We start from the raw sequence: 27,096 nt of genomic DNA on the forward strand, positions 1-27,096 counted from the left end.
GGGGGAGCACTCCCACACCCGGTGCTCTTTGTCTTGTCCTGACGCCTTCTGTCCGGGGAGCACTCCCACACCTGGTGCTCCTTGTCTTGTCCTGACGCCTTCTGTCCGGGGAGCACTCCCACACCCGGTGCTCCTTGTCTTGCCCCTTCTTCTCAGCAGTACCTCACCCAGCACATATCCTTTCTGTACTAAAAACGTATGATTTTTCTGCCATTCTTTATTCCTCCTTTCTTGAATAATTAACAAATTGACCACATATGTACTATTGTTGGAAAGTAGTAAAATTGGACACATCTAACCTCTCCTTTTTTGCCTTTTAAAATTTTCCTACTGGCTGGTTGGGAATTCATTCATTCACTTATTTGTTCATTTATTAATCAATCAATCAATACTTATTGATCACTTTTTCTGCACCAGCCACTGTGCTAAGTGAGCAGGAACTCAACATCTAAGCCTATCAAGGGGGAAGAATGTAAGCTACAGACAGATGACTGTGTGTTTTCTGGGTATGTGTCCAGGATCACAGACTTTTCTCAAATCTACTCTATAGGGATTGTCAAGGGATATATGCTTCCTTTGTTTTTTTTCTTTAGAGCTCCAAACTGTAGACACAGTTTCATGGAACACTTAGCTATTTTTGGTGAATGTGGAGGAAATGGGCCCCCAGGGAATGAGAGCAGGTAAGAAGGGGGGTGGGGCTTAGTCCCAAGGGACAGAGATTAGAGTGCAGCCTACTTTGCTCTAAGCACCAAACAAATTGGGGAGCTCTAGACATCTATGGATTCTCTGTGGGCCAAAACAAAGCCCACCTGTTATGTTTCTAGGGCCCAGGATCCAGATGCGTGCAGGTGACTGTCAGTCACAGAAGCTGAGGCATGAAGAGGAGGAGTGGGAGTGGATTCAATGGTTACAAAGTAAAGTAAAGACGTTTATAAACAACCTTTAAGCCAGGTGCGGTGGCTCACGCCTGTAATCTCAGCACTCTGAGAGGCCGAGGCAGGCGGATCACTTGAGGTCAGGAATTTGAGACCAGACTGTACGATATGGTGAAACCCTGTCTCTACTAAAAAATACAAAAAAAAAAAAAAATAGCTGGGCATAGTGGCACATGCCTGTAATCCCAGCTACTTAGGAGGCTGAGGCAGGAGAATTGCTTGAACCTAGCAGGTAGAGGTTCCCATGAGCCAAGATTGTGCCACTGCACTCCAGCCTGGGTGTTGCAGCGAGACTCCATCTCAAAAATAAGTAAGTAAATAAATAAATAAACAATCTTTAATACTGACTATGGGTATAATAGTGATGAACAACAAGTGAGACAATAAAACAAATGCAAAAACATCAATCCCAGGTGCTTTTCCAGTGCCAGCTTCCGGGATTTGGGATCCAAGAGAAGCAACTTATAAAATGAGGATGGCAGACAGGTATGGAGGGGCTTAGAAAACTAAACTCATGCTGATGTGTTTGATTTGTTACCTTCTGACTTGAAAACAATCCCAGGTCAAGCTCTGAATTAACGGACGTTTTGGACTTCAGGGTTTTTCCGTGTTTTCCTGGTGGGAATTGCCCAGAGTTGCCTCTTTAGGGATTTCACACATTTCAAAACGGTTTAACCTACCTTTTAACAAGTAATGCTTGTGTGCCCTGACTTATTTTTAAACAATGGCTTTGACATAAGCTTTATAGGATAATTCTGCTCAACAAAGGGTTCAGGAGCTGGCGCTCTTGGAGCAGGCTGTGGGGTGCTCACCGAAGACCCTGGGCCCCTCAGCGATGGTTACAGTGTACAGCAGCCTGGCCTGCCAGGGCCCAGGTGCAGCGCAGAAGCCAGAAGCCCTTGAGAATTAACAGCCTAACCCGAAGGGAGCTGGTGCATAATGCTCCCAGCTCCCACAAGCCCCGGAGTGGGCAGATCCCAGCCAAGGGGTCCAAACTGACGTCCGTGGATCTCCAGCCTGGACTGAGGTCCACTTACTCACAGTGAATACTGGCTTTGGACTGAAGCCAATACTGGCTGTCTCTACTTTCCTGAATAACTCCCTAACTTTTACCAGGATGTCCCAGGGTCACTTCCCAATAAAAGCCATACCTCACATCTTTGTCTGGGTGTCCTCTTTTGGGGTGAACCTGAACTAAGAGAGCCTTCATACTTTATATGAAAGCATATTTCTATTAACTTATTGTGTACTGGTCTAAAAAGATAGCCTTCTGTGAATGTTTAGTTTGCTCTATCATTGTCTCATAAATCAACATCACAGGAACCTTAATCCTGTCTGCTGTTCTCTCTAAATTCCCTTCATCACAGATTCGTATTTTCTGGATGGACTTCTATTAGGCGATACATTGCTGGCTGGATAGGAATTATCCTCTTCTATCCCAAGGCACATGATACCAGAAACAGGGAAATCCACCTCTTAGCAGAGTAGGATTCCATTAAAATAGATAAAATATTGACCAAGGTTAGATAAGAAGGAAGTCAGGGAAGAAAAATGGAAAGAACCAGTTAGATCTGGGAATTGAGAAGAAAGTGGGGGAGTCCCCCATGTCAATGAGAGAAAAATTCTCCAAGGATGTGTCTTCTTTGATAAGTTGCTCTGTTGACATTACCAAAGCACGTGAATTTCTGCATAATGTTCTTATCTTAGGCAGGTGGAATGAAGGAAGCTGGAGTAAATGAGACCAGTGAAGAAGGCACAATTTGCATAGTACATTTTTGTCCAGTGCTCCCCCTTTGCTAGAGAGATATATCACAAAAGTAAGCTGACTGAATTAGAAAGAGATGGCTTCAAAGCAGAAGGCAATGTCTTCAAGATTAATTAACTAACAATAAAGAAACCTTGTCCACTCCAAAGAATTAATCAATATTAATCCCTTTTCCTCTTTTTCTTCATTTGCATGATGATACATCCCGATACATCAGGACTCTGTAACAAAGTATCACAAACTGGGTGGCTTGAAACCACAGAAATGTATCATGTCCCAGTTCTGAGGCAGAAGCCCAGCATCAAAGGGTCCACAGGGACATCCTTCCTTTGAAACGCTGGGGAAATCCTTCCTTGCCTCTCCCAAGCTTCTGGTGGTTTTCTTGCCATCTTTGAAGTTCCTTGGTTTGCAGTTGTATAATTTCAACCTGAGCTTTATTGTCACCTGGGGCTTTCCCATCTGTCTCTGACTTTCTGTGACTGTCTTTCTTTCTTTTCTCTTTTTTTTTTTTTTTTTTTTTTTGAGATGGAGTCTTGCTCTGTCACCCAGGCTGGAGAGCAGTGGTGTGATCTCAGCTCACTGCAAGCTCCGCCTCCCATGTTCACGCCATTCTCCTGCTTCAGCCTCCCGAGTTGCTGTGATTACAGGTGCCCGCCACCATGCCTGGCTAATTTTTTGTATTTTTAGTAGAGACGAGGTTTCACCATGTTAGCCAGGATGGTCTCGATCTCCTGACCTTGTGATCCACCCGCCTCGGCCTCCCAAAGTGCTGGGATTACAGGCGTGAGCCACCGCGCCCAGCCTCTGTGGCTGTCTTTCTATGAGACACCAGGCACCTTGGCTTGGGGCCCACCCTGCTCCAACATGAACTCAACTTAACCCATCACAACTACCAAGACTCTGTTTCCAAATAAGGTCACACCTGAGGTGCTGGGAGCTGGGACTTCTCAATATCATCTTTGGAGGGATGCAATTTACCCCATGACAGGTGGTGAAGTAGAAGAAATAGATTAGTTTTTTTTGCAAGAGTCATTAACAAGACTCCTGCATTAAATATATGTTTTGACTATGACTATTTCTCTATTACTTGAACTTCAAGCCTGTTTTGTCCCATACAATATTTTGACAAATCATTCAAAAATTATTTATCCATTTACATTTGAAATAAAGCATATTTTAGGTATTTGAATGGAGTTAGAGTTCACATTTTAATAGCATTTTTTCTATACATTTCTGCACTAATAGATATAAATTATGGTTTATAAAATGGTTTGGGACATGGGGCTACTTTGTACTTCCAAAGACAATGTTGTTTGGCTATTTCTTATTAGATTATTTTCTCCTAAATTTGCTTTTCCCAAAGTCAAGTTGAAAAGCAATTTCAATTACTTCTTTTTTGCCTTTCTTTCTTCTTTCTTCATCCTTCCTGTTTTCCTTCCTTCCCTCTTTTACTTCTTTTTTTATTTGTTTTAATCAGATACTTGTTAGTGAAGACATTGTTGTAAGAGTTATCACTGTTATTTTTTAAGCAATAGCTTAGAATTCTTAGAGTATTTCACATTAAGGAATGCCAGTTCTGCTTTTTCAATAGAAAGTTCTTCACCCTTTCCAAGAAAAATTTGAGGATGTAGAATAAGAACTTACAAGTTATGAAATTTATATAGATGAGTTTATCTTGGGAATATTTAAAAAGCATTCACTAAACTGTGTGCTATATGCAGGCAGACACAGAGTCCATTTGGTTTTTGTAGTTTTCTATATTTATTACAAAGAAGATATGACACTTCTGTGATTAAAACAATTAAATCTCTTTTAATATTCTCTGGTAAATATTTAGCTCAGAAACCTTAACTTTTCAACTAATTTAATTTTTCAACTAATATTAAAATTAATTAATTTTTCAACCAATATTATTTTTTCAACTAATATTAACCTTAATTTTTCAACTAATATTAAAAAATGTTTATAATTAGAGAGCTGTGTCTTTTATTATTTGAAAATCCCAATTTATTATTTTTTTTGCTTCCTTGTAATTAAATTATCAGGTAAATGCTAGTCCTTAAATGTCTGTCCTGATTCCCTGCCTTATTGAATTGAACTAAATGGACTCATTTTTTGCTTCCGTCGGCTGTAGTGATGATTTCCTGATATTTGCAGATGACACAACTCAGGAAGATTTGCAAGGGGCATTCCTTGTTGCTTATGACCAAGTAAGTGATGTTCCACAGGAAGCAGTGTTGTTTTCTATTTGTTGTACATCTAAACTTTTGCTAGAGCGTGGCTGCCTCATGTCTGGCACAGGTGTGTTGTGACGGCTGAGAAGGTGGCTCTGGAGCCAAGAGGATGGGGCTGGAATCCTAGTTCTACCATTTACTCATGGAAGGACTTTCAGCCAGGCACCCAACCTCCGTGCCTCAGCTCCCTGCTCTGAAAATGAGGCTGCAGACATGTGGATTCATGAGGCTTTCATGAGAATTCAGTCAGGATACAACATATCATGGAAAACACTGCCACAAAATTGTTAGATATTAGTATTTGCTGTCACTGAGTCATGTTAGAGTGTAGCCGACAGAAAGAAACACCCCATTCCTAGATTCTGTTCACCTTGGCTGATAAAGAATGAGTGAAGTCATCTGAACAAGAGGAACTTAAGATGTTAGTTGCATATTTCTGAAGTCAATGAATTCCTTAAATAAGAACAGCTCTTCCCCAGTTGTAGAAGGCAGTAGGTTGGATTCTCTGAGTTTTTTTAAACATTTCATTTTACACAGTGCTCTTTCACTGGCGTGAAGTCTGTCAGAAATAACAGAGATGATGATAGATTTCTGTTGACATATGTTGATTGGATTGTTGTGTGTAAAAACCCGGAAAGAAATGCACAATCTAAATATTTTTAGTTAAAAGCATTCATGTTTGTTGCAGTGTTGTTGTGGTAAAAACAGCAGGCAAATGTAAAAATAAAATAGTGACAATTTGACAAAACCTTATACTTTGCAGCATTTCTAAAGTATTATTTTGGTCGAAATAGAGTTGAAATAATAAAGTCCCATGCTGGAAATGTGGTAAGGTTGAGTTTATAATAGTTGACATCCACCCATAAGGAAAGAAATTCAGGTTCAATAACCCAGAAGTGTTCATTCCATAAGCCGGAGTCCTGACTGAAGCTCTGTTGTTCAACCAGGTTGAAGGATGCAGACAGCTCTGGATGTTTGGAGTGGGTCAAGAGTTTGGAAGGCCAGGAGGAAGTCTCATATGACTGGTGTAATCCAACACAATTAGAGTAGGAGTTGGAACGGAGTGCTCACACCCTCCAGCAAATATTCTTTGTTAGAGCTGGGGTAGTAGCAGATGGACATGAGACCTGTGCTATATCCAACAGGCAATGCTGCCTAGAACCTGTGGATGGTTGAGAAACACGTGGTGTGGCCATAGCACAAAAGCAAGATGGGAACACACATAGATATTTAGTACCAAGGTCAAGGTGAGCTTGGCAAGTGAGGAAGATGTTGGAAATATTTTTATCCTCCTAGCTCAGGGAGCAATCCAGCTCTCTATGGCTCTGTTGGACGAGGAAGGTGAAAACGATTTGTAGCTCTTTCAAGAGCGGCTGCTCTGTGTGCAGGCCCTCCAGATGTGGCCACTGATTAGCCTGCAGCTGATCCAGCAACCTCACCGAAGATGGGATCAGCTAAATGCACAACTTCACATTCCAGAGAAAATCAGAGGCAGAAAAAAAGAATGAAAGCTTCCCACTCATTTTTTTTTAACCTTTCATGTTGTCTCAACATGAGATAATTACAGGAGAATTGAGGTGATTTGTTATTTATAGAAGTATTCATGGTTTTATTCACCGCTCTTGGGACTGAAAGTATTATGCCCAAGTGAACAGTCCTTTAAAAACACTCAGCAACAATAACAAGTCTCTCAAGGTTATGCCCTAGCCTGTTTTTTACCCTTTATGTCATTTGTAACAACTATGGTCTCTGACATTTAGTTAATTAAATTTGCCCACAGTGTCTGACTTGGTTGTGCAGCTCCTCTAAGAATGTAATTTTTGAAGGTGGCAAGAAGAATGGTTAACCTTGATGAGTCGGTTAGCCACGGTAGCATGCTATTCAAGATGAGGGGAAAAATTAGAATCCTCGTACAACCTACAAATAAAAAGCCTCTGGAGAAAGCACAGATGTGGAATACTTATGATCTAGGCGAGGCTTAAAAAACAAGATAGCAAAAGAAATCAAACGCCTGCACAATTGCAAAACGTGCCCTATGCCAGTCAGGGATCGCTATTCACATTAGTTTAATGTACCACCTTTTTCTCTGAATAAGTTTTGCATACATGATTTTTAAATTATGGCTGTTTGAAAGATTTCCTTTGACTTGTGTTTAAGAAGTGTTCAATTTGTGTTGGAAGTTTTTATAAAAAGAAGGTGGTGACCTGCATCGGGGGCCCGTGCAGTTGGTGAGGACTGAGATGATCATGGGAAAGGTTTAAATATTGAATAACTAGGATGTCCTGATGGATTGGGAATGCGTAAGGGAACAAGAGAAAATTCATGAATTTTCTGAAGCCATCAAAGATGTTGGCTTGAACAATTGGAAGAATGGGCGTATCAACAACTGGAATGGGGAGGAGGGTAGGGGCACCGGATTCGAGCAGCAGGGTCTCATTTTTGAGCACATTCAGCTTGGGGTATCTAGGACACATCAGAATGAAGAACCAAGCAGGCCGCTGGATATATAAGGATGGACTGGGAAGTCTTTCAATATCTGGATGAAAAGCCTGGCTCTTGGTTAAAAACCTATGTGTGGTTTTCAGCCCTAACCCTGTGTGATGACAAAGGTTTTCCTGGAAGACTTCTTGGAGATGCTACCGTCCCCACAACAGACTCGGGGCACAGCCAAGCCCTGGGGTCCACCGCGGATGGAGCCGGCAGGTAAGGATCAGGCCCGCTGGCGGCCGCGCTCCTATCCGCACCCCTTATCCGCACCCCTTATCCGCGCCCCTTATCCACACCCGTTATCCGCACCCCTTATCTGCACTCCTTATCCGCATCCCCTATCCGCACCCCCTATCCGCACCCCTGGCCCAACACCTCCACTCCGAGGCCTCTTCAGGGGGTCCTTTCCCAGCGCGTCTCCTCTCCCTCCCTGGGACTCCCAGAGCCATAAAATCAGGCCCCGTCCTTAGGGCTCCGTCCCCAGTTCCGTGACCGGCCCTCTGCTCTGTGCTGACACCCAGCACCCTCCCCGGCCTCTGCTCCGAGGGGAAAATAAAACAGGGGCCTTCAGGCCTCACCGCTGGCTCACTCCATCGCAGCAAATCGACCGAGGGTCCTCTGCTGCGTCCTTGCGGCCTGTTGTCTTACTCAGCGGCCCTGACACCCGGCATTTATTTAAAGCCTCGAGGCTGGATGCGGTTGCGACAGCAGGGCGTGTTCAGAGGAAAGAAGGGGCTGGAGCCCGGGCACTCGGGTTAGGCAACGTCAAGGGGCTCGGGAGGAGAGTGGGCTCCGCCAAGGCGGTGGCTGCAGGGGCCACGTGTGGCCTCTTGGAACACGGAGGAAGGAAGCGCTGAAGGACGTAAGGACTGTCTGTAAAATCCTCCCTGACAAGGGAGGTCAGGGTCGGGATGTCCCCTTGGACGTGGCGATGCGGAGGCCTGAGTGACCTCAGGAGAGGGGCTAGGTGGAGATGACGCTCACGGAGGGTGACTCGGGAGACAAACCGCAGACAGTAGGTGCAGGTGGCCCTGAGAGGCGTCCTGCACAGCACAGCAAAAGCCAGGGTCCTAGTTAGTGGGCGAAGTGAGTTCCAGACTTTGGGAAAATAATCGCGTTTTGTACTGCTGTAAATGAGCGGAAGAAAGGGAGAGGCCGGGCGCGGTGGCTGAGGCCTGTACTCCCAGCACTTTGGGAGGCCGTGGCGGGTGGATCTCGAGGTCAGGAGATCAAGACCAGCCTGGCCAAGATGGCGAAACCCCTTCTCTAGTAAAAACACAAAATTAGTTAGGCATGGCGGCATGCACCTGTAATCCCAGCTACTCGGGAGGCTGAGGCGGGAGAACTGCTTGAACCCGGGAAGCGGAGGTTGCAGTGAGCTGAGATCGCGCCACTGCACTCCAGCCTGGGAGACAGAGTGAGACTCCTTCTCAAAAAAAAAAAAAAAAAAAAAAAAAGTTGGGGTGAAACGGTGATGAATAAGATGGCGCGTCGCAGGACGACGTGCTGGAGAAACTAGAGCTGCTGGGAGGAGAGGAGGATGTGGTCTGGGTCATCCCAGGTGATTTCATTTTCAGAACAATCCTGCTCGCACACTCTCAATCATCTGGATGGCCATCATTGAAAATGACTGATTCCAAATGTGTTTTTTAGTTTCTATTAACAACTGCATATAAATGATGCGCTAAAATGATCCTTTAAATCTGTCAGCTCTTCAAGGTCAAATCTCGCCCTGAAATTATTTTCTAGTGTTCAGGGCAATTAATAGATCATTAACAGAACTGTTGCTTAATACATATTTCTTGAATTTTATCATTTATTCTCCTGAAAGAAACATCACCTGACAATCGTAATTTTGTACAATGAATTTGGAATCTGGTGAGTTATTAAAAATAAATTTTAGATGGGCAATGTTGAGTCCTGGTGTACATGGGGGCAGCTGAGTTGCTGGAACACAAGAGCCACTGAAGGAAGAGGTGTCCCAGCCAAAGATAGGAGTAGGCGAGAAGCCTCGGTGCAGCCTAAATGTGAGGGGTGAGATGAGCTACCCAGACCAGCTATGATGCTAATAGGAGATGATGTCTGAATTTTAAATTCCTAGCCCTAGCCAAATATGTTGGCATTTTTAACCAACAGCTTTGAATTGGAATCTTACTGGAGAATAAGAATGAGAGGGCATTCACTGTCTGATGCAGAGTGTTGAAGTGGGATTATCACAGAGGGGAAGGTGAAACTCAAGTTAATGAAACTGCTATGTTGGTTTTTAAAGCAATTAGGAAAGATTTCCATTTCTAGAAATAAGGCAGGGCAAATATTTTGAAAAGAATACCTGCTACAGTTACTCCTTTCTGTAGATAACGCAACTCAATAAACGTCATCTAAAATTGGAGCAAGAAATGAAATCGGAAGCTGGCATTGCCAGAGGGTAAATGTTTATTACAGGCATTTGAGATATCTGATATGGAGGAGAAAGGAATGCTAAGCTGTGGGCCTGACTTGAACTGGGCAGGGAGGGAGGAGGTGAATCCATGATTCTTACTTTAATCTGGGACATTCAGAATATTTATATCCTTACTGAAAAGATCAACTAGAAATAATGTGTTGAGACAAAATGAACCTGAAAAGAAATAAGTTGTCCTTTGCAAGCTGTGAAAAATTAGTAGTGATAGCAATAGTACAGCTATGTCCTCATAAAGTGTATTTTTTGTTATAGAGCCAATATTTATTCCTGAAAAGGTGAGATTCTGCATGAATATGTTGAGGGGCTTTTTCCTATCATTTTAAATGTGAAATTATGATACATTGCATATAAACCTAAACCCCTAATGACTGACGTACAGTATAAATGAAATTCAATAAACCAGCCATACATAACCAGCAATTATTTTAGGAGATAAGATGCTTAAAATATCTTCTTAATCATTTAAAACATATATTTTGCTAACAAACAGTTGCTTGTTGTGCAAGAACATGGTCTCTCAGCATCACCAAAATTCAAGAGACATAATCCTTAGTGGACATTTAACTAGCTTCTCCAAATGTAAAAGCATGATTGCAATGTTCGGCCAATTTTATTTTTAATATACCTCAAGATATTTCTCACATTTCATCATGTTAGTAATGTACTGAGTTTAGGAGATGTAAATATATTTTTTCTATAAAACAGGCCAAAATAATTTATTAAGAGGAATTTTTTTCATAAAGTTTTGAAATTAACATAGTGATATTCTACCAATATTATATTCACTAGGAAGATAATCTGCAAGACATGTTTGTTATATGAATACATAACTTTATGCTGGGCGTGGTGGCTCACGCCTGTAATCCCAGCACTTTGGGAGGCCGAGGCTGGCAGATCACCTGAGGTCAGGAGTTCGAGACCAGCCTGACCAGTGTGATGAAACCCCGTCTCTACTAAAAATGCAAAAATTAGCCAGGAGTGGGGGCATGCGCCTGTAATCCCAGCTACTCAGGAGGCTGAGACAGGAGAATTGCTTGAACCCTGGAGGCAGAGGTTGCAATGACCTGAGATAGTGCCATTGCACTATAGCCTGGGCAACAAGAGCAAAACTCCATCTTATAAAAAAAAAAAAAAGAAAGAAATACATAACTTTAGGACAACTCTGACTTGGGTCAGCAGCTCCAATTTATATGATCTACACAGGACCAGCCAGTGGATGATTCCGTGAAACAGAAACCACCACTTTGGGAGTTGAAAGAAGAAATCTAATGTATCCTGCTGTTCTGAAACCATCACTTCCTATTGACAGGTTTTTGGATTTAGCTGACGGTAGGTATGGAGTTTTTTTTTATTTTAATTTGGAATGACATGAAAACGAATACTGTGGACTGCATTTTATGTGCTCATTTGCCCCCTGTTTATCCTCCCCAGTGAGGTGTTTGTTCAGAACTTTTGCCCATTTTTAATTGAGTTGTTTGTCTTCTTATTGCTCAGTTTGGATTGCTATTTGTATCGTGTGGATTCCAGTCCTTTATCAGATATGTGTTTTACAAATATTTTTCCAGTCAGTGGCTTGTCTTTTCATTCTCTTGGCAGTGTTTTTACTGAGCAGAAGTTTACGATTTTAGAAAAGGACAGTTTGTCATTTTTTTTCTTTTGTGGATCACGCCTTTGGTGTTGGATCTAGAAACTCATGACCAAAGCAAGATCTTATGGATACTCTGTTAAGTTTTCTTTTGAATGTTTTATTGTTCTGTATTTTATTTTTAGGCCTATAACACATTTTGATATTATTTTGAAATATGAATGTTCTAGTTTTGCATTTTTCTCATATGAACATTCAATTTTCCCAGGACCATTTTGTTGAAAGACGAACCATTCTCTGTTGAATTACCTGTGCTCTTTGCTCTTTTGTCAAAGAGCTCTTGACTGTGTTAGCGTGATTTACTTCTGGGCTCTGAGTTCTGTTCTGTTGGTCAATTTGTCTGTTCTTTCACCAATGCCAAGCTGTCTTGATTACTGCAGGTTTACTCTAAGTCTTAAAGTTGGTTGCTTGGTGTTGTTTCTCTGACTTTGTTCTTTTCCTTCAATATTCTGTTCGCGATTATGGGCCTTTTGATTTTCTATGTAAACTTCAGAATCAGTTTGATGATATCCAAAAAATAACTCACTTGGACTTTGATTGAGATTGCACTGAGTCTATCCATCAAATTTGGAAGAACTGACATCTTAACAAAAAATCTTCCTGTCCATGAAAATAGAGTATCTCTCCATTTATTTAGATTTTCTTTATTGTTTTCTATCAGAGTTTTATAGTTTTTAGATACAGATCTTGTACATAATCCATTCGATTTATACATGTGTATCTCATTTTTCTGCTATTGTAATTGATATTGTGATTTTAATTTCAAATTGCAAATGCTCATATTGATGATAGACGGAAGAGCAAGTGACTTATGTATGTTAACCTTGTATCCTATAACATTATTATATTATTTATTAGACCAGGAATTGTTATTGTTTTGGTCAGTTCTTTGGGAGTTCCTACATAAACCATCGTATAATCTGTGAACAAATACAGTTTAATTTCTTTTTTACAGTGTGTGTGGCTTTCTTTTCTTGAGGCCCTAGACAGGACGTTCAGTAGGATGTTGAGTAATAACCACAGGAAGAAACCCCTTTGCCTGGGTCCCCGTCATAAGGGGAAGATGGTCCATTTCTCAGCTCCTGATGCGATGCTGGCTGTAGGTGTTTGTAGCTGTTCTTCATCAAGTTGATGAAGTATCCCTCTGTTTCTAGTTGGCTCAGAGTTGTTTCATTCAGGGTGTTGAATTTTGTCAAATGCTTTTTCTGCATTTATTGGTATGACTGTATAGTTATTCTTATTTAGCCTGTTGGTGTGGTGGATTACAATAAGTGAGGTTTTTTGTTTCATTGTTTGTTTGTTTTTGAGCCAGAGTCTTACTCTGTCTCCTAGGCTGGAGTGCAGTGGTGTGATCTCAGCTCACTGCAACTTCTGCCCCCTGGGCCCAAGCAATTCTCCCACATCGACCTTCCCACATCAGCCTCCAGAGTAACTAGGGCTACAGACACATATCACAGCACCCGGCTAATTTTTTTTTTTTTTTCTAGAGACTGGGTTTCCCCATGTTGCCCAGGCTGGCCTTGTACTCCTGGCCTCAAGCGATCTTCCTGCCTTGGCCTCCCAAAGTGCTGGGATTACAGGTGTGAGCCACTGCGTAAGCCACATTAAGTGAGTCTTAAGTGTGGAATGTGCCTGCATATGTGGAAAAGAGTCTCACTTGGCTGTGGTTTGTAATTCATTTTATTTATTGTTGGGTTTTATTTGCTGTCACTGTGTTTGAGGACTTTCATACCTATGTTCATAATAGATTTTGGTTTGTATTTTTCCTCACTTTCAACCTCTTTACCTGGTTTTCACTTTTGAGTAATGCTGGACTCATGAAATTAGTTAGGACGTGTTCTTCAGTTCCTATTTTTTGGAACATATCATAGAGAATTGGTATCATTTTTTCTTAAACATGTGGTAGTGTTCTGTTTTGGAAAGTTATTGCTTATTGATTCAATTTCTGAAATAGATATAGTCTCATTCATTTTATTCAGTTCTCCTTGTGTGAGTTTTGGCAGTTTGCCTTTTTTTTAGGAATTGATCCATTTTATTTGTTGCTAAATTTGTGGGCATACGGCGATTCATAATATTCCTTTATTTCCTTTTATTGTTCATTCGTAGTAATGTCCCTTCTTTCATTCTGGCATTTGTAATTTGAGTATTTTTTTTTCTTTTACTTGGTTAGCCAGGTTAGAAGTATATCATTTTAAAAATCATTTCAGAGAACCTGCTTTTGGTTTTCTTAATTTTTGCTATTAATTTCCTGGCTTCAGTTTCATTGATTTCTAATCTGATTTTTATTTTTTTCTTTTCTTCTCGTTATTTTAAGCTTTAATTGTTTTTTCTCTAGTTTCTTGAAGTGCAAGCTTAGATTTCAGATCTTTTTGTTTCTAATCATGCTTTTCTAATACATGTATTTCTTTGTAGGTATCACTTTACCTTATCCCATAAAATTTGATTAGAAAGTTGTGTTTTGACTTTTATTTAGTTCAAAATGTTTTTAAAACTTTCCTCAGACTTTTTTTTGACACATGCATCAGTGAGAAATATGCTTTTTAATTTTGAACTGGTGGGGGTGGTTCAAGTATCTTGTTGTTATTGATTTATAGTGTAATTTCATTGTGGTCTGAGAATGCATTTTGTCTGTTTTCTTTCTGCAAGTTTGCTAAGGTGTGTCTCATCACCCAAAATGTGCATAGTCTTGGTAAATGTTCCAGGTGACCTTGAGAAGAATGTATTTTCTGCTATTTGTTGAGTGGAGTGTTCTATCTTCTGCCTAGAAGTGTCATATAGGTCAAGTTAATCCCCATTGTTGTTCAGATTAACTATATTTCTATTAATGTTCTGCTTGTTAGATCCACCAAGTCCTGAAAAGCAGGCATTGAAGTCTCCAGCTGTAACTGGTTATTTTTTGTTTCTCCTTGCAGTTCTACTAGGTTGCCTGTTTTATGATACTTTGTTGTTAAAGACATGCTTGTTAAAGATTGTTATATCTTCTTGGAGAATTAACCACTTTATTACTCTGTAATGTCCATCTTTGTCCCTGATAATTTTCCTTGCTCTGAAGTCTGTTTTGAATGGAATTACTAAAGTTGTTTGAGCTTTGTTTTGATTATTGTTAGCATTGCTATATCTTTCTTCATCCCTTTAATTTTAATGTGTTAGTGTCTTTATGTTTAAATTGAGTTTCCTATAGAAAACTATCCTTTTGTTGTTGTTTAAAATCCATTTTCCTTTGTAGGGACATGGATGAAACTGGAAACCATCATTCTCAGCAAACTATCGCAAGGACAAAAAACCAAACACTGCATGTTCTCACTCATAGGTGGGAATCGAACAATGAGAACACATGGACACAGGAAGGGGAACATCACACACCGGGAACTGTTGTGGGGTGGGGGGAGGGGGGAGGGACAGCATTAGGAGATATACCTAATGTTAAATGACGAGTTAATGGGTACAGCACACCAACATGGCACATGTATACATATGTAACTAACCTGCACATTGTGCACATGTACCCTAAAACTTAAAGTATAATAATAATAAAATTAAAAAAAAATCATTGCCTTTAATTGGTATAGTTAGAACATTTACATTTAAAGCAAATATTTATGGCACTGCATTAATATTAATATCAATCATGATTTTATTATTTTGTATTTATTGCACTTACTCGTTTTTTCTTCCTCTTCATTTTTTCATTCTCTGATTTAAATTTTGCATACAATTTAATATTATTTCTTCTCTTAAGAAATAAACTCTGCTTTCTAAAGAAGAAAATATCGATTATCTTAGAGTTTGTAATATACATTTATAGGAATCTGGGTCCACTTTCAGATGGCTCCTTAAAAGGGAATATTTCCAACTCTTGCTTCTGTTTCTTTATAAATTTGCTGTGATTTAATTCACTTATCTGTATGCTGTAATCAAACAATACATTGTTACTCTTATTACTGTGAACAAAAAATTAAATAGTAGATAAAGTAAGAATTATATACATTTAGTTTCATGCCTTGATCACTTTCTTTAGCTCTGAAGAACTTTCAGCATTTCTCACAGGGCTGGGCTTCTTGCAACTAATATCCTTAGCTTTTGTCTGAAAAGGTCTTCAGTTCTCTTCCAATTCTGAAGGACAATTTCTCTGGATATAGAACTCTGGGTCAGTGGTGTCCTTCTTTCAACACTTAAATACTTCATTTAACTCTTCTAGCTTACATAGAATCTGTGAAGACGTCTGGTGGGATTGTTATTCTTTTCGTTTATGGATGAGGCATTTTTTTTCTTTTTTTCTTTGGCTACTTTCCAGATTTTTCTGTTGGGCTGTAGTTTTGGGGTGACTTGAATACTTTATGCCCACCTGTAGCCTTTTTTGTTTGTTTTTCATTTGGCTTGGTGTCCTCTAAACTTCCTGAATCTCTGTTTTTGTGTCTGTCATAGATTTTTTAAAAATTCTTGCTCATTTTACTGCAGATATTTCTTCTACTCCTCTCTCTTATTTTTTTATCTTCCTTCTGATATTTTAAATATCCATATATTGTATCTTTTGAGATTGCCCTACAGTTTTTGAAAATTTTGTTCTGTTTTATTTTCCTCTTTTTGTTTCAGAAGTTTCTATTGATGTTTCTCCAAGCTTGTTGATCTTTGTCTTGGTCATGTCTAGTTAATTATAAGCCCATAAAAGGCATTCTGTATTTCTGTTTTGGTGTTTTCATTTCTAGCATTTTATTTTGATCCCTTTTTAGAACTTTTGTCTCTCTGCTTACATGACACACAAGTCCTTACATGACATTTACTTCTTCCATTTGAACCCATAATGTACCAATCACAGTTATTTTAAGTGTCCAGTCTCATAATTGCCAAATCTGTGTTCTGTCTGAGTCTGGATGTGAGGCTTGTTTTGTCTCTTCAGATTATGGAGGATCCTTGCCTTCAGGATGCCTCATGGTTTTTTGTTCATATCTGGGCAATATGGGGTTACGTAATAGAAACTAAGCTTCAGTGTGAAGTGTGACGTGGATCTACTGCAAACTGGGCTGTGCTTAATGTTTTCTGTAGCTGTAGGTTTCAGGGCTTCCAACTCCTCTCTAATGTACAGGTTTCTGTCTCTCTTACTGTCTTTGTGTTTCCCTACAAACTCCTTCTCAAATAGAGTTTGAGCTGTGCAGCTGTTTCAGCTGTGACCTGCTGTTATTTCATCAGAACCTAGTGCGGTGGCAAGGATGGTGGGGAGACGATGTGTTCTATCCTCTTATGATCAAATCCAAGTCTGTAGTGGGCCTGTGTCCCCGGCTGATACCTGCTCAGGTGTCTCCTGGCTTTCTTAGGTAAGAGAGGGACGCTGGAGGAGGGGCTGGGAATTGGCTGCTGGAGGAGGAGAACTGCCCTTCCGTCTGGGCAGGAAAGCACTGGCCAAGCATTTCCTCTGGGGAGCAGGTCTGTGTTCAACACAGCAGCTTTCTTCTTCCTCCTCGCAGAGACGTGAGGTGATTTGTTTGACTGTCCGCTATGAAAATCTAGTGGGGTTCCAGGGTGCAAACACACAGAAGTGTGGGGTCCTTCTAAGACTGCAGCCCCACGCGCTCCTCATTTTTGTGTCAGTCCATGACCCACCTCAAGAAATTTGTCATAAAACATCCACGCATTCTGGCAAATTTGTGGCTCTGTGGCTCTGGCTTCAGGTCAGCTGCCGTGGCCTGTCCCTCCAGATCCAGGGTAGCCCCCTGTCCTTTTGGGGGTTCTGGAATGGGCAACAATGTTCAATAGGTTTAGTTTTTCTCTTGGGTTCAGGATAGGAGTGACAGCCTTCCAGTCCATGTCAGAGCTGAGAGCAGAAATCCTCCGCCAGTTTTACAGCTTATTCTTGGCATGACAGCATGACCCAAGTTCACTTTTAGTTTCTCCAGTGCAGCCCTGAATTCCACCCTTTCTCCAGGCATTCTGAGTCCTCTTATTGAGGCAACCAATAGAGGCAAAAAGCCAGGATCTTGGAAAGAGGTGTGCTCATTGTTGCTGGTCTGCCATGATTCCAGGCCATTCCAGTGGGTGGAGTTAGAGAGCAAAAGTGTGCATGCGACTCCACATAGACACACAGGTGCACAGGTATTTCTGTCTTTAAATAGCCAAAATAAATATATAAGCATAAATATATGTGGACATATAAATATTGACATACATATATTTGCTGAGGCTTATAGGTAAAATACATTATTTACATATAATATGTAAGGTGTATTATTATATGTAATATATAATTTTTAACTATGAGTTTGTACTGATTTCTCCTATTTCAATCCAAAACCACAGGATTCATCTAGGGATCACCTTCCTCTCTGTGAATTGACTCTAAGCTTGGTGACTTCCACCGTTACTCACCTGCTCAACCCAAGTTTATGCTAGAGTAGTTTCAAAACTAATTTTACTGATTAGCAAATAGTGTTTGCACATATTTCTTTTTGTATTTAGCTTCATTCTTTTTGTCTTTAGCTTTTTTGCTTCAATTATTTTAGTCTTTAGCTTTTTGTCTTTAGTATTCAGTCAAAATATTGTTTTCCAACATTGCATTCTTTCTTTTCTACCTCGAGAGTTGGTTCTGCTTTTCACCAGTAATTCATTCATTATAGTTTTAATTCAATGTTGGAATTCCTCATAGCCTCGTTGAGTTTTGATCAAATTATATACAGTAAAATTTATTCACCTTGGAATATAGTTCTATGGGTATTGATAATTATATAAAGTCACGAATTTCCCACTATAATCGAGAAATGGAAAAATTCCATCGTTTAAAAATTTTATCATGCTGACCTTTGCAATAAACCCCTTCTCCATTTGTCTCATTTAGATTTCACCAGCGGAAGCGCGTGTGTAGCTTTTGGCGATGACTTCTTTTGCTCAGCAAGACGCACTTGTTTTATCTTATGATGCTGCATGAATCGATAGTTCATATATTTTTTGCTGATGGGCATTGTGTTGTGTGCAAGGGCTGTGGATAGTTTATCCATTTACTTGTGGAAGGATAGCTTGTTTGTTTTCATTTGAGAGCTGTGTGTGTGTGTTTTTATCAGTATAAAATACTGTGTACTCTCCTAATGAATTTGGAAAAAAATAGCAGTTGGGTAATTTTTTTAAGACAATGAAGAACTGAAAGTTCTGACTGAACGTATTGAATGCCACAGGAATGGCTGAGGGAGAAACGAAAACAAGCTATTTTCCACGCCCCCCTGTGAAAGGCAGGTCCCCACTCATGCCCATGACATCTCGCACTCACGTGACTGAGTTTTCCTTTCTCGCCACCTCACTCGAGCCCAGCTGAGTTCACGGGACTCCTTGGGCCCCCGCGTTTCCTGACCTGTCTTCCCGGGCTTCCTCCCTCCGCGCTCTCTGCCGGGCCACCATGTCCCACTCCTGCATGTGAGGGATCTGCTCAGACATCAGCATATAGATCGGCCTTTCATGACTACACTCGGGAAAACATCTGCGTCTACCCCGGCCTGGCCTGTGTGTTTTCTCCGCAGCACGGCTCTCCACGCGTGATGTGACATGAGGGCACCCGTGACCCCACATGCGACAGGGTTGTCCACTGTGGAATGTAAGTCCCGTGAGGGAAAGGACTTGTATTCATTTTTATTGTTATTTGCTCTGTTTTTTTTTTTAAATACTCCAAGCTTAGAACTTTAAGTAGTATCTGCCAGACAGTTGTTGAATGAATGGACAAACCAAGAATTGATTTGCTCAGTTCCAAGACTCAGGGAGATTTGTGGGATGACTATTACGAAATTACCAGGAGCGGGTAATTTTCTGGCGTTTATAAATGATTTTGGAGCATATAAATTTATATAAAAGTTTTTAATTCACTTTAAAATAATAGGAATAATGCATAAAAGGAGATAATTCACATAGAGCAAGTAAAAATGATCTTTAAACATGTAAAATATATGCAACCTCATTAACAAGTGGTAATTTGAAACAGAAGATCCCTTTTTTAACCTAACAAATGGACAGATATTTGAATAAATTAACTATGTTATTTCTTCTTTAAAAATAATCTTCATGTGGAACAGATTTTGCTACGCTGTCCTTTTTACAGGAATGTCAGTCAAACCCCAGTAGAGTTTTCTTCATTTTTCTTATTTTTTGCGTACTTACAGATTTCTTCAACCCTTTTTGGAATTGTTTGGGGTATTTCCTTTCTCTCCATTCACTCACGTCTTCATTTAACAAATGAAGCTCGAATATAGGATGACAGCGTAATTGGCCACAGGAAAAAGTTAGGTGGGTTTTTAAAATGCAGATAATCCAGTATCAACGCGGGGCGGACTGGAGACCCAGGAAACGCCTGAAAGGAGGGCCGTGCAGGACGAAGCCCCCAGGACACGCGAGGAGACCCGGCCGCGCGCCGCGTGGGGCTTGGGAGCCTCCGAGGGGCCATGCCCAGCCTGGAATAACCATTTCGGTTTTTGCTAGATGGCTGCGGAGACAATGGATGAATGACAGAAATAAAACAAGTAAAGGAAAACCCAGCCATGCGAGAGGCTGCTGTCGGAACCTGGCGAGCAGGACGTGGCTGCTGCTGGAGAGGAGCCGAGGGTGACGGCTCGGTGTGGGGTGGACACTGGTCCAGGGCCAGCTCCTGAAGTGCAGCAAAGTCTAAGGCTCCTTAAGGATGAAGAGGGCACCCACCGGACAGAAAGATGGGTTCAGGGGAGTAGATCTTTAATGAGCGCTGGACGTGCGGTGGGGAATGCTGGGTTCCTTAGAGCTGCAGGGCCTGCGTGTCAGCGGGAGCTCTGCAAAGAACTCACAGGTGGTGTTGGGAGCCAAGGAAGCACTCTCCTCCCTCTAAGGTCCACGGATGTAGGCCTGGGAGACAGCAAGCATGAAGACTGAAATGCGCTTTGGGGGAAGACGTGTGTATACTCCGGGGGAAAGAGTTCAAGTTAAGGAACAAAATAGAGAAAATATTTTGTTAAAAAAATAAGATTGTAGGAATTTTTAGGGTTTCCAAAGCTGCAAAAACACAGGATGGAAGGTCCATCAAGAAGAAACCTAAAACAGCACAGAGAGGAATGCAGGAGGCTTCAGAATGCCCGTGGGGTAAATGGAAAGAGTGAGTGTGTATGTATGTCTGTGTGCATACGTGTGTGCATATGTGTGCGTGTGTGTGCATACATGTGTACATATGTGTGCACTTAGTGAACACAGCATGGATAGGAAGCTTGGAGAAATTCTTTGAAATTTGGGCACAGTATAGGAGACAGGACTCATTCTGCCTGCTTCCTGGATGAATCTGAACAGTTTTGGGGATAATTCTCTGGAAGAGGTCAATCAAGGATGTTGGTGTTTTGGAAGACATTCAGCTCCCTTGTCATTGGCTTGAGGGTTGTTGATGCTCCTTCTAACAGCTCCTGAGCAAAGGTGCTGGGGCGCATGGTGGAGGACGCAGCACAGCGAAGAAACTCACTTTACTCAGGGTCGGAGCCCCTGGCGCTGTTCCCAGGGATCTGTGAGGTGCTGAGAGCAGAGGAATCTACTTCTAGGTCAGCAGAGAGGAGTTAAAGTGACGACCTTAAGTAGCAAGGGCTCACAGTGAAGAATAGAGCTAAAATCCAGTTGCCTCTTTCAGCATTTCATTTAGAAACATTCCCCCCAAAATAGTGTTTATTCTCTCCTGTTGTCATATAGTGAGAAGCAGATGTCTGGGAAAATGGAATGCAAGGAAATTAGCTTTGATATAGGAAAAGAGGAGTTGAGAGCTGCTGTATTTTTTTTTTCTTCTAGGCCTAGATAGAGCAGAGCAAAAAAAAAAAAAAAAAAAAAAAAAAAATCAGCTTGCTATTCTGTCAGTTCTTTGTTATAAAAATTATTAGAACACAATTAATAGGAGTGGGACAGAAAAGGATACAGAGCCATTGAAAGAAGATTTGGAGAATCACCAGAGTTAACCTGCAGATCACCATTGGGTCCATCCAATTACTGTACGAATGAAGATGTCAGAAAACACACACATCGCTGAGTACATCTCAGAGACCCTTGTTCCTAGGGAAGTGCAGGAATTATGAAATGCACAAAAAAAATCTGAATAGTTTGAAGAAAATTGGAAAATATTTAAAGAAGAGAAGAGGAAAAGAAGGAAGGATAGAAATGGATGAACATATGTTTGTAAAGGAAAGTGACTTTTGAAAGACAGAAGGTCATACAGGAAAGATGTATTTGAAAGAGAAGTTGTAAAATCCCTTTGGCTACAGGGGGAAGTCAGGGAAATTGTAAGTATAATAACTTGTCTGAACATGTTTTCATTTTAAGGAGTCGGCTTCATTTTTAGATAAGGTTGTATTTTATTATCTTCAATCTGGGAGTGACCAGAGATTTTACTAAATTAAGAAAGACGGTGGCCCACATGAAAATTCACATTATCTTTAACCATATGTCTGTGGCTTTCTGAATTAAGAATATGCAATAACTCATAAACTAGACCAGCTCTAACTCTGATTGTTACCCTATATGATCTCACCTTTCTATTTTTAAAACTTCCTTATTATCCAAGTAGTTTGCTGGCACTCTCCGGTGACTTTTCCTTTTGGATTAAATATATCCTAAGGAGATCAGTCAGAAGCCAGTCTTTTAACTCCATAAGCTGATTTTATCGAAAAGCTCGTCATGCCCTGATCTCTGAATCATTGTTCTCAGCTGGAACTCCGGGATATGTGGGTTGTGCTTTTCACGTGGCCAAGGCATGTCATCCGCACGGGAAGGAGCAGGGGAGTGGATCCCCTGGGACACACTCTTCAACGTTGTCCATGGACTTCACCTGCTTTAAGCCTTTGGGGATCGTTCAGCTGCGTTTCACAATGTGCATTTTTAGATGTTCATAATTAAATCTCTTTCTAATGCAACTCCATAAGAAAATAAATCCATGTCCACAATATGAGAAGAGATGGGTGTTCTTGGGGGAGGTGGGAGGATCCAATTCTAACCGCGTGCAGCTGCGTCGAGGACATGATTTCAGTGGGCAGGTCAGTGGGGAATAAATTTTCTCCATGGTTATGGAGAACAGCACATTCTGCTTCTGTGCTATGAATCAGGAGAAACAAGGATGTCCAAATGTCCTTTAAATGGTTTACTAAAGATAAGAATCATATACCAAAATAGTATCAGATTTATTTGGACAAAAGATACAAAGAGTTGTACATTCTAAACAATGCAAAATCTAATTGTTTTATGCATGGGGATATTTAGCTCATTGAAAATTTTGCAGTAAGCCACTGTAGCCTGAACTTGGCATTATGCTGAGTCAAAAGCTACACCAGGCATCTATGAACTGATAAGACTATATAAATATGCAAAAATCCAATAAGCAGTTGCAGTATAGATTCCTTAATGGATACCAAAAGATGTGCGGATTTCAGAACAGGGCCTGAGGTTCCATTTGGACTAGGGTAACGGTTTGTTTCAAGGAGAGTAATGTTTGATATTTAGTGACTAGTTACTCTGCCATGCGGAACAGTATACATCATTTCTCTCATAATTTGGCATTTCCAGAAGATTTGCTATGTAACATTTATTGGCTGCTCAGTATTGTAACATTTCTGAATTGCATTGTACCTAGAGACCTCAGCTATCCTTCCCTTTTATAAGGAAATAATTGTATGTATCACAATTAATAGCAAGACTGACAAGCCATTTTTGCATAGCATTTACTATTTTCCAGCACATTTACTAATATTTGGAAATATTAGTTTATTCTGACCGTAAGACAGCCTTGTGAAGTAGGTATTTCCATTACTCTCATTTTATAAATGGAGAAAGGGGAAGCATCAAGAGATGAATTCACTTGTGAGATGGGAGGTGGCCTGAGCAGGAATACGGACAGGGAGCTCAGATCCGAGGCCGGAGCTTCAATCAACGCAAGCCACTCCCTCTCCCCAGGTCACTACCTGTGTCCAAAGATACTGAAGAGCTGCCCAAGGTCTAGTAGCTTTTTTTAAAGCAAAGACGAGAAAAGCTACCATCTCTGCCTCAGACCTACTTGCATTGTTTCTAAAGTGCTACTAATTAAAGTCCTACCCCCAATTCTGAAAAACCTATTGCTGAGTAGCTGAATATTTCTCAACCCAATCCCCAGTGTTTATTTACATATTTATTAGACATTGTGTTGGTAATTTTCCTGCTTCAATTTCTTTTGTTGACACTTCTGTTTCCTAAAGGAACACTGGGTTATCCCAGAGCCTCAGAGAAAGGAAGTCCATCTCAGATTCTCACTAACTCTTCCTTCCTTTCCCATCCCTTTTCTTGGCGGTACAGAGGGAAGCTTGGCCACTTTTTCTATGTCCTGTGGGTCAAATTTTTGTTTTGCAAAGGTTTTCAAAGTATCTTTTCAGAAAAGACAGCATTTTACAAGTCCCATATCTATTCAGAAAACCCACTTCCACTTTAATCACTTCCTATAAAAATTGTAATGACCACACATCAGTGGAGCTATAGGAGAGTTATTAAAACAGTTGCCAAGAGTCATCCCCAAGGCCCTTTCTACTTCCTGAGAGCCATTGATGGTAACGGATGAGAGTAATTTAACACATCTCTCGGTGTTAGCTGGCTCAGTTGGAAGCAGTCCACTTGGCATGCGATCGCATCTTGAATCACACTTGGTAGGAAAACACGCAGAGCCAGCTCAGCGTCAGCCCATGTCTTAGTACGTCAGCTGCAGGGGGTCAGACGTGTAAGGGACATAACAGGTGAGCAATCCTCACCGTGCTGTGAACCCCATTGCGTAAATACCCGTTCGAGCTGATGCGGTGATTAGGTAAGTAAAACAGGACTCAATAGGTGTTATTCAACTTGTGTCTCTTAATTTCTACAACTAAAAGTAATGGACTAGTTGAAGACACACTAGTTCTTTGGGTCTTATATGAAAAGCATTGTTTTTTACTTTTACTGTTATGGCATGTTGATGGTGTGAGGGCTTAAGGAGTGGAAAGGAACACGGAATCAGAACGTTAACTCTCACAAGGCTGTCAGGCTCTGTGTAATCAACCTTTGTGATCATAGAGGCAGATTAAGGTAACGACTTCCGGCAGAGGATCTTAGAGGTATTATATTTTTCCTCCAAGGGTTTACAATTCTGTGGGGGAACATATTTCCACAAATGTGGAAATGAGCCTTCCATGGTGCCAGTCTACAATGGCGGTTCAGCTGTTCCATCATGGCAAGTCTAAAGAGTGTCAATCACACCCCATGGGTCTGTAGACACAGCCCAGGACAACTTGACATTTGAAAAAAAAAAAAGAACAAAATAAAACCTTAAGTTCTTATGTTTAATTTACTTGACTAGTAATACGCCTATTTTCTGTCATTATCTGTAGAGGAACATCCCACACTTACTTAACATCCCTCAGTTTCCATCTCAGAGGGAACAACTCTGATTGGTTTTTACCTGTAATTCTGGGGATGTTTTATGTATATCTATGTGTGTGTACGTGTATGTGTGTGTGTGTGTGTCTTTCTCTTTAAACATTTGGTCAGATACTAGACACATTTATGACACCTTGTATTTTGTTTTGCTTTACGTGGTAATGAACCTTGGTTATCATTTCCTATTATGATGTCCTGAGCTGCCTGATCATGGTCAGGCTGCCCTGCATGAGATTTGGGTCATATGCATTTAAGGCTGCCCTGCATGAGATTTCCTAGCTGTGCCATAATTCATCGTCCAGCATGCCAGCGACGGGCACAAATGTCTCCGTTTTATTTTTACCCCGACAACATAGCATGTCCGATATAGCATAGAACTGTCCATACCTCTCTAGGTATTGTGAGAGTCTTTAAGCCTCATAGATTTCCAGAAGGGGCAGGTGGGGTGTGCAAGTCCAGTTACAAACATCCTAACTGAGCTCCAAGCCTCGTTCCCGTGTATGCTCCAGGGGGGTCGAGAACGCCTCTTTCCTCCTCCCCGACATTGCATGCGGCTTCCTGGGGCTGTCCTGCAAGACTACCCCTCTGCCTGGTCTGACCTCCTATCTCCCAGAAACCGTTGCATACCCTTCCATTTCCAACATCCTGTCTTTGTGAAGCAGGATTTTCTGCAGCGACAGCCACCAAAATGAGATTATGGAGTAGACTGGGCATAAGCAACATTCTTCTGCTGTCACTGTCTCCTGTCACCAGCCCCAGCCTCCCACTCTCCTCTTTCCTGGCCAGTTATTACAAGATAATGTCTAACACCCAACACACATCTGCCATCTGACTGCACCTGCGTCTGTCTCTGCCTGACTTTGTGAGGCCTGGGACAATCGGTGTCCTAAGAAACCCAGCTCCTCTGGGTGTGCTAGAGCCTGTGTTGCCTCACCTGCTCAATGATGTGCCCAGGACTTATCCCATCATTTCTCCCTTGTCACTCCCACATTCTCCTCTGTACACACATGCTGTAATTTTGACCATTTTACAATGGAAACGTCTTGTCCTCACATTACCTTCCAGCACTGCCATGGCTTTTGTCCTTCTTAACAGCAAAACTCCTTGAAAGACTTTGTGCCATCTTCCCATCTCTTGTTTCTCTTCTCCATTTTCCTCTTGAAACTGTTCCGGCCAGGCACCTCTTTTCCCTGGAAACTCTTCTGCCCATGTCAAATATGACTCTTACCTTGCTAAGTTCAGTACTTAGAAAAAAATATGGCCAAGGTGCCCACTCTATAAATATTTTTGAATACATGAGTGCAAGAAATATTCAACGAGTGCATTTGTTAGTCACATGAATTGTTCAAGCACTTTGTTCGGTTGGTTTCCTCCGATGGCTCCATTCCTTAAGGCCCACGAAGTCACGGAAGTTCCTTCTGCACATCGCACAGTGTCATACACACAGATTGCATTTGAGCAGGTGGTCTCGTTGACTGAGCTAGTCGTGTGGACCTGTCGCAACCTGGTATTACCTCATCCACCCTGCCCCCTGGGTGACTGCATTTGTCCTCTGAGCCAGGGGTCTTGGAAGGGAGGCACACCTGTCTCATATAACAAGTGGCCAGGACGTGTATTTGGCAGAGCAAGAGGTTTAGAGGGTATTTGCTGCATAAGACCCTCCTCCTCTCCACTATAAAAGGAAACTGGTGGGAAAAGTAAAGTCCTTTCCTTCCACATGGGATTCTAGCTCCATGGTAAAACACATTTTATGTATAGGAAACTTTGCAAGAATTTTGCTTATAATCACGGAGACATGGCTGTGCGGTGGTTTTAGCTGGCATTTCTGCATGGAGACGTGGTATGGTGTTAATGGTCGAGGAACTGCATGGTCCATTGTGATGTGCACATTACTCCGACAATCAGCAGAGGCAGGTATAGGAGTCTGCATGGTCCATTGTGATGTGCACATTACTCCGACAATCAGCAGAGGCAGGTATAGGCGTCTGCATGGTCCATTGTGATGTGCACATTACTCCGACAATCAGCAGAGGCAGGTATAGGCGTCTGCATGGTCCATTGTGATGTGCACATTACTCCGACAATCAGCAGAGGCAGGTATAGGCGTCTGCATGGTCCATTGTGATGTGCACATTACTCCGACAATCAGCAGAGGCAGGTATAGGCGTCTGCTTGGC

General features: G+C 41.4%; 1 annotated feature.

Annotated features, from left to right (window-relative positions):
* Nucleotides 21,701–22,900: an enhancer, noted in NCBI's record as "MED14-independent group 3 enhancer chr10:2008580-2009779 (GRCh37/hg19 assembly coordinates)". NCBI's record gives its function as "activates an origin of replication core promoter dependent on BRD2, BRD4, P300/CBP and CDK7 cofactors, and independent of MED14, by STARR-seq in HCT116 cells {active_cell/tissue: HCT116}" and the evidence as "EXISTENCE:reporter gene assay evidence [ECO:0000049][PMID:35650434]".

This window comes from Homo sapiens, chromosome 10 (genome assembly GCF_000001405.40).
Source record: "Homo sapiens chromosome 10, GRCh38.p14 Primary Assembly".
NCBI lineage: Eukaryota > Metazoa > Chordata > Mammalia > Primates > Hominidae > Homo > Homo sapiens.